Source organism: Homo sapiens, chromosome 14 (assembly GCF_000001405.40).
Source record: "Homo sapiens chromosome 14, GRCh38.p14 Primary Assembly".
NCBI lineage: Eukaryota > Metazoa > Chordata > Mammalia > Primates > Hominidae > Homo > Homo sapiens.
The window spans coordinates 40,658,347-40,674,477 of record NC_000014.9 but is presented as its reverse complement, the minus strand read 5'-3'; positions in this window follow the sequence as shown (position 1 = coordinate 40,674,477).

Below are 16,131 nucleotides of genomic sequence, written 5' to 3'. Positions count from 1 at the left end.
CAGAATGTTTCTATTTTATATTAGCAGTATTGTGAGTTATTTTTTTCTATTTCTTCTGATGGGCAATAATTCACACAAGAAATAGGAAGAAAGCTTAAAATTATTTTTTAGTCATTTTTTTCCTCAAGTTCACCACAATATGACTGCAAATCTGAACCCTCCTTGCTTTATAAGATGTAAACTCTAAAAAGGACAGAAATTAAACCTTGACATAAACACACAACACACACTTGGAAAGTGAAATATCAAAATTATATTTAAAAAGCATTAATATTTACACAAATTTAACATTTATTTAAAGGCACATTGTCCTTTAGTTATAGCTAGAACAAAAATTAAACTATTTTTTCCACTTACAAATTCAGTTACAATTTTACTAAGCCTTTCTTCATACTTTGCAATTATTGAAATCTCCTATATTGTCTTTCAACCAGACCTTATTTCAAAATAATCTCTATGCCATTTTTCTGTAGTTTACCAATAGCACATTATGAAGCAATATACACTTTCATAGGAAAAATTTTTAGTATCACTTAAATCAACTCTATTGCTTTTTGTCATTTTTATTAGTATCAAGATACAGTTTGTAAACTTTTATTTTGGTTTTTAGAAATATTGTATCTATAATTCTTATGTTGAGTTTTGATATCAAGGATGCTCTTGTATTACACAATGAGATAAAAAAATTTCTCATTTTTAATTTTCTGGAATAGTTTGTATATGAGTAATAACATGTCTTCTTTCGTTATGGTACAACAATTTCAAATAAAGCCTTGCAGGCCTGCTTCAAGTCCTAGAGTTTTCTTCGTAGAAAGCTATTTTTATTAAATTGTTCTGTATTTTCAATGGTTGCAGGAATAATTTGGTTTTCTATTTCTCTTTTAATCAGTTTTTATGGCTTATGTTTTTAAGAATTATTCCTTCTCATATAAAGTTTTGAATGTAGAGGCTTAAAGTTTTCAATAACATCCTCTTTAATTTTTGGATAACTGCATTTTCTTTTTGATATCTGATATTATTGCTGCAATTATTCACGGACGTACCTTCTCTTTATCTTTTTTCTTGTCGTATCACTGTTTTAGCCAAGTCTTGGTTATGATATCCAACTATGTCTATGGATTTGTTATTTTTTCTGGTAGTCATTATTCCCTAATATATTTTGAAAACAACACTAGTAAGTATTTATGTATCTAGAATTATTGTGTCTTCATGAAGAAATGAATGTTTTATAATTATAAATTATCTTCATTAATTATTTGCTCCCTATTATCTCTGTATAAAAATTTTATTAGATGTAGATTATATTTAGAAGCCAAATTCTGATACATTTATTTCTGCTAATTCTACTCACGGTAGGTTATTTTTATTTGAAATTTGTCATTTTAGAGTTTGAATTCATTTTAATATGGAAATCAGATGTTTCCTTAAGATTTAAGGGTCTGTCCTTTCTCAACAAGTTTGTGTTTCCATCTTCCTATCACCTGGGTGGATATCGTAGTTCAGGGAAATATTCCACGTTAATTCATTATATTGGGCTATCAATTTAAGCTCCAAAAACACCTAAGGAAAATCTATGGTTAGAAATTCTCAAAGGAGGCTTTTGAATTCCTAGTAAAAATCAGATCAGTCTGCTTTGTCCACATTTTTTTGCCACTGAGAGACATCTATTTGTCTGTGGTAGCCTGTTTTTAATAAATATGTGTACCCTTTATTCAGAAACAAAGCCCCTGTCCTAAGTGGAAAACTCATTTTCTATTTTCTAACTACCTTCCACTCAAGACTTCCTCTCCTGTAATTACAAGATAATGGGAAATAGTTGCCCCTGCGACATTGTAATAGGCAACCTCACCTCAAATCCGCCAGGACTTAACTCTTTTTACTGTTCCTGCTTCAGATTTCCTCTTTGTGTCCAGCTTTTGTGATCTTTATTCCTTGGTAATTCAGCTACAGAATTTAAAAAATCATCAATTTAATTCAGCATTTCTAGATATTTTGCATGGGATTTTTGGATTACTCATTTTGCAACGCTGCCAGTGGTAGAATTTTGTACTTATATCCATAAGCCATAAAATTATAACAGATATTTTGTGATTATTAAAATTTGTAAAACTTTATAAACTATCAAGAAAAGTGCCTAATACATTGTAAGCACTTTATATTAAATTCCCTTCACCTGGATTTGAAGACTGAGAACTTAAGACTTGCTGAGTTGTTCAATTTCAGTTAACAAGTATTTAAAATCCATGAGGTTATTTATTTGGGTTACCAAGATTAAGCCATTTTTTTTACTGCTATTTAATATAGACAATGGCCTTAATATTTCTTTAGACTTTATGATAGATTTATATTCACAAATTGAAATAGCTGTCTTAGTAAGATATTTTATTCTAATTTCCATAACATTGTATAGGTCAAAAAGAAATTTCTTTCTTTACCTATCACTAGGGGCAGGTCTAAGGCCCCTGTAACATAAGACAGATGAATAATAATATGAAAACATACAAATGTATTTAATATAAGCTTTATGTGGCAAAGGAGCCTTCAACAGGAAATGAAGACTCAAAGAAACAGAGAAATTTGTGTATTTTTATGTATAGGTTTGATGAAAAGTGGGCAGGCATGAAGAAATATTATTGGAGAACAAAAGAGTACAATATACTAGTAATACTAGTAATAAACCAGGGGAAACAGCAAAGCCTGTTTATTCAGAATGTCCTTGAGTCTCTGTGTCTTTGGCCCCTTTCTACTGGGCATATAGAGTGAACCTCTTGAATGACAATCTTATGATTTGGTTTAGGGGAAAAGGACAGGAGGCCTGAGAGTGACCTTCCTTAGATTTTTTTTAACCTGTATCAGGGGAGAACAGGGGAAGGTAAGAGTGACTTCCTTGCATCTGCTGTTTTCTCAAACAGATGCCACATTTGGGGATAGCATGTCCTGGCCCTCATCCATTGTATATTTTTCTGATTCTCTTTTCTCACATTTTAAGTCTTCAGCATAGTTAGCATGTGATTGAATGTGCAAAGAAGAGGTCTTGATAGACATTATCCTCCTTGAGTGAATTACATAAGTATATGCTTTTGATATATCTTAGTTTTCTTTTTTCTAAGAAGTATTGTATAATTAATAACCATAATGAATGGACTTCGTGAAATTTTTAATTGGTAATAGTGGTAAAATAATTGAGTTTGATCTTTTGAGAGTACCGGTTAAGGTACTGAAAGAATGCATGACCAATATATTCAAATGTATTTTTGTCACTAATCCTTAAAAGCCTTTTTGTGCTAATGTGTTACTGAAAGAAAATGTGTAAACCTTTTCATTACATAATGAGTTACACGCACATTTAAACTTAATTAATAGTTAATCTAATTCAGATAAATTTAGCCCAAAATTTCTGAGCAGTTGGTAGCAGGTAGCTTTGGGGACCCTGTGCTAACTAACTAGGTAAGTTTTATATTTGTTTACAGTTTCACACATGTTATACAGTAGAATTTTCAACTAGGCTGCTGATTAGTTTCAGACCATATGTTGGATACCTGAATTCTAGTGAAATGACAATAAATTTTGAATACTCCTAGAACTTTAGAGCAAATTAATAAGATTCCTTGATATGGGTGTATTGTTCCATCTCAATTTGGAATGATATTTTGATGAAGGTTTTTCTCTACTTTGCTACTCTAGAATCCTTTCAGAAATATGACAGAAACAAGTTAATTCATGTTTTACTAAAATTTCTCTTTCAGACATCTTCCTTTCACATCCATAAGCCAATATTAGGAACAATATGGACATATGATTAACAAAGAGAAATATTATGGTCTAGATCACAAAATCTATCCGTGTAAATGCTGTAGGTCATGCATAATGTCAACAGTTATCAAAGGAAAAAAATACATATCCTGAATAAAACAAATGTATTAATATAATGAAATCAATTCCAATGTGATAATTTTTGGTTTCACAGCATATGGTTTTACAAGTGTAGACTACACTGTAGAAGGAAAAAATGCCATATGTACTATACTTATTTGAGAGACCAACTACAGAAGTAATCTCTTAATTACTGAAGAAGTATAATCACCAGATGGGTTCTTCCTGCCTGAACAGACAAAACCAATTCACTATGATCATGGCATTGCAATAAAGAACGAGTTTAATTGATGTGAGTCTGGCCCATGAGAAAGAACTGAACTTATTTCTCACATCAGTCTCCCTGAAGGCTCAGAGGTTAAGGGTTTTCAATTAGAGTTTGGTAGACAAGTGGGTAGGGAATTAGTGCTGCTGATCCATTGGGGATGCCATCACAGGTGTGTGATGGGGTGCCACAAGACTGGTTGAGTTACAAATCACAAGTCCAGGTGGAGTTAGTCAATTGTCACAAATAAAAAGTCTAAAAAGACATCTCAAAAAGGCAATCTTAGGTTCTATAGTAGTGATATTATCTACGGGAGTAGTTGGGGAAGTTTCAAATCTGGTGATCTCCAGAAAAATGGCTGATTATCTTCTCATGTAACTATGCCTACATCTTAGTAGAATTTAGGCCCCTTTCATAATCCTAACTTTGTGGACTTTCATGAGTTTTACAAAGGCAGTTTAGTTTTGGGAAGGGCTAATATAAACCTGTCTTTAAGGTTAAAGCATTAACTAAATTTCTCCCCAAGTTAGTTTGGCTTGTGCCAAGGATGACAAACGACAGCTTGGAAGTTAGAAGCAAGATGGGCCAACTATGTCAGAGTTCTCTTACTGTGATAATTTTGCAAAGGTGGTTTCAGAAGTTGTAGTTTATAACTTTAAGCCAAAGAAGCCAGGGACAAAATTTAACAAAAATAAATAGAGAATGAGAAAGAAAGAGAAAGAAGGGGATCTGATAACACAATGATGCCAACTCTCAACAACTAGTTTAGGTGAAATATACAGAGATACTCACTGCTATTCATAAAACTACTCTGTATTTCTAAAACTTTCAAAGTATATTATTGGGAAAGTAAAGTTTACAAACATTAAAATAAAAAATCTAAACTATTGGTTCAGAATGCATTTAGGAGTAAGGAAACTATGAAAAATGAGTATCACAAAATTCAGGGCTGTGGTTCATTTGGGAAGAGATAATAAAATTGTCATCAAGGAAGGGCACACAGGGAACTTATGAGTGTTTTTGTTATTTAATTTCTTGACCTAGTATTGGTGTTTGCATGACTGTTCATTAATCTTAAACTGTACATATTTATATATATGTAAATCCTTAGAGAACTGAAACAAAAATAAAACTTATTTGAGACCCAAACATATGGTTTATTTAAAAATGTGAATAGGCTTCCCTTGCATAACAACAAAAAGAGCAAAATTCCTATTGACTCATAAAAAGGAGACCTTATTCTATGCTTTAAATAAAGTGCAATTGGCTGACCTGAGTCAAAACGGGGGCAGGGGGAGTGGGGGAGAGGGATTAAGATATACCAACCGGTGGAAATAATAAGTAAAAAGATTCAAATTCTAAAATTAGATAAAATAAAATATATGTTAAAAAGCATTAAATATAACAATTTTAAAGACGATTCTCAAAGACTATAAAGCAGTTATGAATTTTTGTGAATAATACAGCAGAAGATTCACATTATAAAGCTAAAATTACGAGAGGAACATTTATTAAAAACAGCAAAAAAGATACAATTCTTAGCTATAAATTTAAGAATTTTGCAAAACCCAAATGAGGAAAATTTTAAAATAATCCTAACAGATGCAACATTACACTTGAGAAAAGAAAAACAGTAATGCATCTCTTATTTTTGGCCAATTCCAAACTTACAAAAAAGAGCACAAGTTTTTCTAATTTGATTTCTAAATCTAACATTATCCTAAAAACAGTATCAGCAATGTATTTTACTAAAGCCAGATTAATTGAAACTTAAATTGCCATTATAAAAAAACTTTAGAAAATAGTAAAATAAAAAACATAGATTTCCAAAGGGAAGTTTAGTCCTATTAATATTAAGTCATAGTAAAGAACTACTATAATTAAAACAGTGATATATTGGCACATGCATACATAGAAATATCAGTAGAACCTAATTGAACATATAGAATTAATCTAGTCCATAAGGAAGTTTCATATATGATAAATGTGGCATTTTGCATCAATAGGCAAAGGCAAACTTTTAAAAATATAGGTTCAGAAAATGGAAAGCCATATGGGAAAAATGGATAAGATTGGATTGTACACAAGAACATTTACAAAAAGATAAGAAATCTAAATGTTAAGCATAAAGTCATACAAATATTTGGAAAAAATCTAGGACTAATTACTCTATAAATTGAGTATGAAAATAGGCTTTATACATACAACTTGAAACCATATGCAACAAAAGATTGATACTCTTAGCTTGATTAAAAATAATGATTAAAATATTTGCCTGGTGAAAATATCTTTAGGTATATCTGAGAGAAAATATTTATAAGACATACTATAGAAAGGGCCATATGCCTAACATATAACAAACCTTTAAAATAAAGAAACAATATAAAGTAAAAATTTTGCGGAAAATGAACATGGGCAAAAGACATAAACAGTGCATTCATTTAAAAATATCTGTAAAAATGACCTGGTGAAAAGTTACTCATCTTTACTAATAATAGGAGAAGTTCAAATTCAACCCATGTAAGAGAATTTGATATATGACAAACTATAAAATCACATAGGTATTTCTTTGTTAATTGAGGAATTCCCATTCTAGGTATTTACCCCTAAGCTATGCTTTCAACTATACAAAAGTACATATACATAAGTTATCCATGGCAATTGATATTTTTAATGGAAAAATATTGAAAGTGATCTAAATGCCCATTCATAAGGAACTGTTTGAAAAACTTTGGTTTGACGTACAATTAAGTACTATGGCTTTGTAGAAAAAATGAGAAAGATCTGCATGAAGTGAAATGGACAGATTACCAGGATTTATTTTTACACTGAAAAAGCCCAGCAAAGTATATATGATATTAATATACAATAATATATATAATGTTTTTTTGTGAAGATTTAAAAAGTAAGAAAGATAGCATTTACTTTGCAAAGAGACTCAAGAAGGATAAGGAAGAAATTAATGAATTTGGTTAGCTACAGGGTCTACATAAAACTAGAGTATAAAAGATAAGATAATATTACATGATTAGCATAATTTTGCATGCTATTGAGTTTTGGCAAGATATTAATGTTTTATATATTCAAAAAATAAGATTAAATCAACAAATATGTGGGAAAAACTAATATTGGATTTAGCTTTACTTCAAATGATTAATTACAACCACATTCAAGGAAAAAAAAGTGTTACAGGAACTCTTGAAAACCTTAATTTCATTATATATTGTCATTCACAAGTAAAAATAAATGCAAACTAATCTAAAACTCTAACTAGTTTGGAACTTTTTTTTTGATAGATGAGTGTTGCCATTCTGAAGCTATTTTATTTGTTTTGTAGAATTAAGCTAATTAAGTAAATATTGAGATGTTGGCAGTCAGGGCCCTCCCTATTGGAGAAAGAAGGTACAACACAGAATTGGGAAATACCAAAAAAAAAAAAAAATAGAAAAGAAAAGAAACTGTTGCGCTGAATTAGAAATTTTCCCATATATTGGGCTGAGCCAATGATTTAATTTTTCTGTTCTCTGCTTGCTGAAGGGACCTAGGAACCATGCTATTTAAGTAGCAATAACCACAGCTGGGACAGAGATATTGGTTTATAAATATCATTCATCAGTAAAGTAAACCTGAGTTTCCTTGGCCTCAGATAAATTTGTGACCCCAGGGCTAGGACTACATATATACATATATATATATATATATATATACAATATGACCCTCAAAATTCTTGAGCCAGAAAGTAAGGAAACACTAAAAAAAGAATTTAGGATCATGTGAAAGGAATATGGGAGTCAAAGGGAAGGGGCTACTACTGTCCAATCAGGCATGATTTGAACTTCAAATCATGAATAATGGTAGCAATACTATATAAGCCATTGAATAAATTACTAATCTATCAAACTATACTTATACATATGTGATAGGTAGATGATAAATCGAAATAAATAGATGGATTGGTAAAAGAGAAGGCAAAAAGTTTATTTTTAACAATGGAATGCAGTATAATGAATAGAGAAGAAATAATAGATTTAGAAAATCATTTTTCAAACATCAGAGTAATAAATGATTCAGGTAATATTTATCAATGGAGACAATGATCACTGGATAAATGAAAAATAGAACGTAAATAAGTATCAAAAATTGCCTCACACATTACTTAAAAAAGGAGGAATGCTTATTTTACCAAGGAAAAATCTGGTGGATACCAATATAATCAGATGATCAAATTTCACCCACAATAGTGAACTAAGAAAATAAAATCTCAGATATTTATTCTGTCAAAAATATGTAAGCTGAATATAATCATGCATTAACATTAGACAATTCAAAGTGAGATTCATTTTACAAACAACTGGACTGTACTCTTCAATATATATCAGTATCTTCCACACTGTAAAAAACCATAATAAAAAATATATCAGTATCATAAAAGAAAAAGAAAGAGAGAAGAATTGGTTCAAGTTAAAGGAAACTAAAGAGACAAGAAAACAAAATGAATTTTGTGATGGTAGATTGAATCAAGAATGGTGATAGATTCTATCAGGACCATCCATTCTTAAGACAATAAACAAAATTTGATTATGGACTTTGTACTAAATAATAATAGTGTGCCATTTTTAAGTGTCCCTAATTTGATCATCTGACTTCTATATAAACAAACATCCTTAGTATTAAAATATTTATGCTAAAGCATTTGGGGATAAGGAAGTAAAATGTTAACTTGTCTAAATCTGGATGCAGCTTATATGAGTGATCTTTGCACTTTTCTTGAAACTCCCCTATGAATTTGAAGTTATATAGAATATGAACATGAAAAAGATTTAGGCTGAAAATCAGAAACACAGAGTGGGATTTTTCTGCTCACTACTGATGCTGAGGAGACAAATACCCATCACCTCTTTTGGAGTAGATAAATTTTAATTTTTGAGGAGAATAGCAAACACTTTTAAAAAGTAGTTTTTCTTCCTAACTGTTGCCTAGTGTATGCTATAAATAATAAAGTAGACTGAAAAGAACATGCTAATCTTAAATCAGATCAATTGAATACAAAGTGGTACATCTAACAATTTAACTATTTATACTGTTTTATTTAAGCCTTATTTGTCCCAAGACCTTGTCTAAATGTCACTTTTTGTGCAACATTTTAGATAAAATACTTTTCAAATTATAACTTCTAAAATCTCAGAGTCAGTATTCATAATGTTTTCTCATATTTGCAAAACACATGGTTTTACATTAAGGATGCACAGAAGAAATTTTGAAGCAACTGTGGTCTATCGATCTAACAGGAAACTTAATGAGAGTTCACAGTGTGCTCACTAGATGATTCTTCTGATCAGTGAGTGAATCATGACTAAGTAAAGGAAGTATAAAATGTAGACAATCAAGTGAAGAGGTAAAGCTCTCTCAACATATGCAAAGCCCATATCTAAGGTATACTGAATAAATTCTGATAGTGACTGCTTAAGAAAAGTATTCATTTCTTTCTCTTAAAAACAAAATTCCACTTCAAGGAAATAAAAGTATGCCAGGTAATAGACAAGAAGTTTGTAACATAACTAAATTCAAGGCTACAATTTCAATCATGATTATAGTTAAAAACACAACCAGAATAATACTATATATATTATTTGGTGGTAAGCAGAGAAACTAATTTTCACCTCTGCTTCCAACATACTTGAACCTTTAAAATGAGTGTGCTCACTGCCACTCTGAGGAGGTGCTAGACAGTTGAGTTGTCGTACTTTAGGCAAGCAGGCCAGCCCCATATCCTTTGGACATTCCAGATATCAGCACTGGATATAAGAGCAGATGAGATAGGCTGGGAGACCAGTTAGAAGATGACTGCAATTACTGATAAGCGATGGATGAATACATATGCTATCTGTTCTGAGGTACCAGCAATAGGAAAGATTTCCTAGCCAGAGTTGCATGCACTAACAGAGCCATTGGAACTGAAGGAAACATGTGGGCTTAAGCATTAGATGTCTCCCCAACAGGAATCAATATAAATTGACAAACAAGGGCCTCCTCAATCATTTTGATTTCAGATTTCTTATTCTTAGAATCTACACAAATGATTTACCAGTATCAAACTACTGGGATCAGATTCACCAAGTTACCTATTAAAATTCAAATTCTTGATTCCCCTCCCCAAATATGGACTTCAAATATTTATGGTGGAGTCCTAAACTCTGCAATGTTTAAAAACACCCCAGGTGACACATACATACTAAATTTGGAAACTACTCTGCTATGTTCTACTGCACAAAGGATTCTTTCCTGGAGAGCTTATTTGTGGCGACTCCTAAGAGAAGCTAAACTTTTTCTCAAAAACTGTATAGATACCTCCTAGAAAACAAACGGCTACTTCATTCTGAATTAGGATAAAAAATAATGTAAAATGTGCAGTGTCCATAAAGATTATAAACTTCAGGAATAAGAGTTTGATAGCAAATAACCCAGTAGCAGTGAGAAATGGAAGAACAAGAACATGCCTATTTAGTAGAGTACTTCATTACGTTGAAGTTTCTAACTACAAGGAAATGGAAATGAAAGTGTAATTCTAAAACTAATTGTGTATGCTAGTAGTAGCTTAAGAAAAATATATTATTTCATGAAATTGCTTACCTTCAGGTTGCCTTTTCCAACTTTTTAAATTGGCACTTACAGTATGCTAAACTAATTGTGAGGCACAATTAAAGACTCCAGATGTGACTGTGATTTAGCTTGATGAAAGAAATTGTGAGACATTGATCATTGATGCTAATTTCCTACATTCTGCTCAAATCTTGGCAGTAACATGAGTAAATCCCACACAATGTTGCTGTACCATATTAATTTTTGTTCTTACTTTACTCAAATATCCACACATTTAAAATTAATAGATTTCTTCAGATAACAACAAATAGAGGAATCTATCAATATATATGTGGTTTGTCTGAACAAGAGTCATATACCTAGAATAAATTAGTAATAGCAACTGATTTATCTTTTTATAACTTAGGAACAATGTACATGATAATATTTTGTGTGTTTGTGTGTGTGCCCAGTTTGTTATTGTTGTCAAGTAACCTAAGATAAGCATTACAAGTGAATGAGGATTTCCACAAATGAATATTTGGATATGAGAAAATGTTCTTAATCTTTGAAGTAAATGATAAATATCTCAAATTATGATTTACATTATGGATTCTTAATCTATTTTTTTCTGTAACTAGAACATTGGGCATCATATGCATTGCATAATCAATCCAACGAAGAAGGGGGCAGATGGCAGGGATATATTGGCTTAGTCAGATTTGAGTTAAATGTAGCCTTGCCACTTACTAGCTCTGAAATCTTTGACACCAGGTATCTCCAGGTCTTGTATTTTCATCTATTAATAAAAATATTAGTATCTATGGGGTGTTAATGATTAATAAAGTATACAATACACGTTAACTGTTAGTCTGAGATTTCTATGTTTAACAGCCGGTCAATTCTTACAAAGATTATATGAGATAAGATAGTTAATAATAGAAAACTAAAGGCAGTCAATAATAGAAAAATAAAATATATTGGATTTGAATTTATTTATAGAAAAATCAGAGAGCCCAAGAGCAAAAAATCGTCTTGGGAGAATGACCTAGCCATGGTAAACCATAAGACAAGCTGGGAAGTCAACCAATCAGAGAATGTATTATCACTATATATCCAGATGAGAAAAAGTCACTAAGGAGTTGTCTTAATATTTTAAGATACTTTGGTACATATACACCATGGAATACTATGCAGCCCTAAAAAAGGACAAGATCATGTCCTCTGCAGGAACATGGATAGATCTGGAGGTCATTATTTTTAGCAAACTAATGCAGGAACAGAAAACCAAATACTACATGTTCTCACTTACTATATGTGAAAGCTAAATTATGAGAACATATGGACACAAAGGGGGAACAACAGACACTGAGGCCTGCCTACTTGAGGGTGGGCTGGGGGAGGAGAGGATCAGGAAAAACAACTACTGAGTACTAGACCTAGTACCTGGGTGATGAAATAACCTTGACAACAAACCCCCATGACACAGGTTTACATATATAACAAACGTGCATATGTACTCCTGAAACAAAAATAAAAGTTTTTCTCTTAAAAAAAAGATCTCTATGTTCATGTTTGTTCTTATCACAAAGTCTAAAAGATGGTGCTCAAAAATTCTTAAATTGATTTTAAAAGGACAGAGGCATTAAAAATAGTTTTTGTGTAACTGATTGCTGATGACACATATAGATATCTTAGTGATTAATGAGGGTATAGTCAGATACAAAATTTGTGGTAATTTTGATTACACACTAGTAGACAAGATATTTTCATATTGAAAACAAATTATATGATAATGTCATATGCATTGCTCTATAGCAATGTAGAATGAGAATCACAAAGAATATTCAATATGTCTTTTGACAAATTTTAAATAAGGTATTTGAAACAGAGGTGTTAGGATCCCAAATTCCAGTGAAAGATTTTGGGTATTTTTAAAATGTAATTCTTCCTTTTTAGAGTCCTTTAAAATCAGAAAATGTGAGACATTCATTTACATTTGTTGTTTTAACACATAAATCCCCTAATTTTCATTGTTTAAAATATGATTTTTTTTCCTTGGTCTATTAAAATCCAATCTGCAGTGTTGGGTGGGAGTTTCACAGAGTCATGTAGAAATACAGGCTGATGAAGGCTCTACCATCTTCAACAAGTACCTTTCAAGGTTTCCCTGTTGGCAGTTAATGACATTACCATGTCCACAGCCTCATGGAGCTTACCAGTGCTGTACATTTCACCCTGACTTCCCTCATCAGCATCCATATCATTGCCTCAGAGCTTTCTTTGACAATATGAATCCACCCTGCCTGCAAGAAGCAGGCTGGAAGTATTGCCCAGTAATGCATATCTTCAGTAGCAGTGCTCAACCAATGATTGATGAGAGCAGGTAACTAAGTACCCAATTTCTTTTGTCCCTTTTTGCGGGCGTATGTTCCACAGTGACACTTCAATTCCGCAAAGGTGTTAATCTTCAGTTACTTACTATGTTAATTTGCTTGATAAAATGCCCTTTATTGTCTGTCTTCCTTTCCTGAGTCTATGATGAAGAAAAAACTATGAGAAACTGAATATTCAATTGTCAATAAGGATCCCTGTATAGACAATGGGGCTAATGTGGGATTTGGAGGTTATATGGGAAAGTGTTTGTGGGGAAAATGACTAGAAAAAAATACCAAAATTAAGCATGCACATGATCATAATAAATGTATGTGTAGAAATTAAGTAAACTATAACTTAAAATAACTCAAATCTAATGTATGGTACAGTAAAATTGCTACATTAAGTCCATTTCATTTGGTTATATAGAAGTTAACCATGTTGCAATCATGTTTGTAAGAATGTACACACACACAAACCCACAACTACATCTTATGACAACATTTGCAAAATCTAGATGAAAAACATGGTCTTAACTCTCTAATCTTAGCATTTAATGTATATAAAATATCTGAAGTTTGTCTTGGAGTGAAGCTTTTTATAATCAATCTAGAAGGATGCAGAGGAAATTAATTCTAATTTACTGTCCAAAATAATATTTATATGGGCATGCCTAATCCAAGAAGTTACATCATTTTCAAGCGATAAGTAAAGGCAGTAACAAATAATTCCAAACGTGCATAATAAAAGCAAATAAAAATTATTTTAAATGTGCTTCCTAAAAATAATCATTTATACAAGGAATGAGTTTGTTGAAATCAGGAGTTTTAGGAATATGCTGTTATTATATATTCATAATACTTAAAATCAGGTAAATTGACAATTTATTTTTTGAATTCATGTAGAAATAATTTGGAGAACAAAACATGTACATTAGAGAGGACAAAAGATTTAGTATTCTTATTTTACCAACAGAATCCAACACATGTATATGGCTTACTCTATTATTTACACATTTAACAAAACAAAATAAATAATCAATTTCTATATTACATATGACCATGTGTGTTAATGTATAATATAAAAATAAATCATTCTTGCCTGTGCATCTGTTCTTATTTTGTTTTTTTAAAAAAACATATTCTTAAAGGAAGAGTTATAATTTTGAGTTTTTTTAAAGTGTTCATGCATACGTGTACTTTTTATATTTTTAAACTACTCTTCTTCTCTCTCTTAAAATTCTTTTAAACTGTTTTTTAATTATTTTCTGTACTTCTTTTCTTATTACTTTATATATTCATCTTTCTTACTAAACTCTGAACTTTTTGAGGATGCTCACTGTACCTTAGTCTAAACAGAATAGATGAATTAAATATGTCTCTGTGGTTTAGAAAAGTGGAATTGTCATTAGAGAAGTTCACACTACACAGTACTTCATTCATCATTCATTCATTCATTTATAAACTTGTATTAAGCACTAACCACAGGCTAACCCCTTGTGCTAAGAGCTAAACATATAAATATAAACTATGGAGCATAAGTTCTATTATGAAATCCAATTAAGTCTTTAAATAGTATTGAGCAGTGGAAAGATGCGTTTATTTGTGTTTATATAGAACAATTTGGGAGCAGTGAGTAATAGGATATGAGAGTAAAAAAATAAAGAAAAATGAATAAGCAGTGCATATTATAATATTCAAGATAAGGGAGTATGAGTTCCTAATACTGTGTATATTTGACACAAATATTATGAAGTCTTACTGTTATTGCTGGTCCACAGATAGCACCTCTAATGAATGAGACCTTTTACTATTCATGCCTAGTGTCATCTCCCATGACATTTAATCTGAGCTTGCCCTATGATTCTTTGATCAATAAAGTGCAGCTGAAGTGACTCTTTAATTTCCAAAAAATAGTCCTTAGAAGAACTAAAGTTTCTACTTTCATCTTTTAAAACACTTCTTCTTAAAAACCAGTCATCACACCGTTAGACATCTAAGTCACATAAAAAGGCTACATTAAGAAAAACTGTGTTGTTATCACCAACATCCATGGAAGGACTCCAAGCCAACAGCCAGCATTAATTCGAATCAAATGGGTGAAATGTCTTGAACATTCCAGCCCAGTAGAGACTACAGATAGCCGTAGCACAAGACGACAATGACATGGAGCAAAACAACCATCCAGTTGAGCCCCAATCAACAAACAGAATCATGAGAAATAATAAAATGATTGTTATTTAATCCAGTAAGTTTTAGAATGAATTTGTCATACGGTATAGACAGCCTAAACAGATATTGGTACCAGAAGTAGGTTGCTGTTGTGACAAAAAGCTAAAACATGTGGCATCAGCTTTGGAACCAGCTTTCAGGTATGAGCTGGAAGGGTCTTGAGGAGGATATTAATAAAGGATGAAAGGGAAAAGAAGAAATTGTTATTAGAGGCTAGAGAAAAAAGCAGATTGTGTTATGAATTTTTGACAGCAGTAGTCCCTGCAAAATGCAAAAAATAAAAGAAAAATGTATCATTGAATTTGTAGGTCTGACCAATAATATTTCCTACCTTTAAGAGAGAAATAACTCCTAGAGAGCCTCTTTGAAATTTGGAAATAATATATACAGTTGACCCTTGAACAACACATGTTTAAACTGCATTTATATAGTGATTTTTTTTCTGCCTCTGCTATTCCTGAGACAGTAAAACCAACCTCTCCTTCCCTTCTTCTCCTCAGGCTATTCAAAGTGAAGAGAATAAAGTTGAAACCTTTATGATATTCCACTTTCAATTAATCAATAGTAAATATATTTTCTCTTATGATTTTCTTAATAACATTTTATTTTCTCTAGCTTACTTTATTATAATACAGTATGTGTGTATATAAATATAAATATATACAATTTATAATTAAATTTTATATTTATAATTTATGTATAATTATTTATATATAAATATATATAGAAACACACATATAATATACGTAAGCTAGAAAAGTTGAGTTTATGAAAATAGAGAGTATGGCCAGATGCGGTGGCTCACCC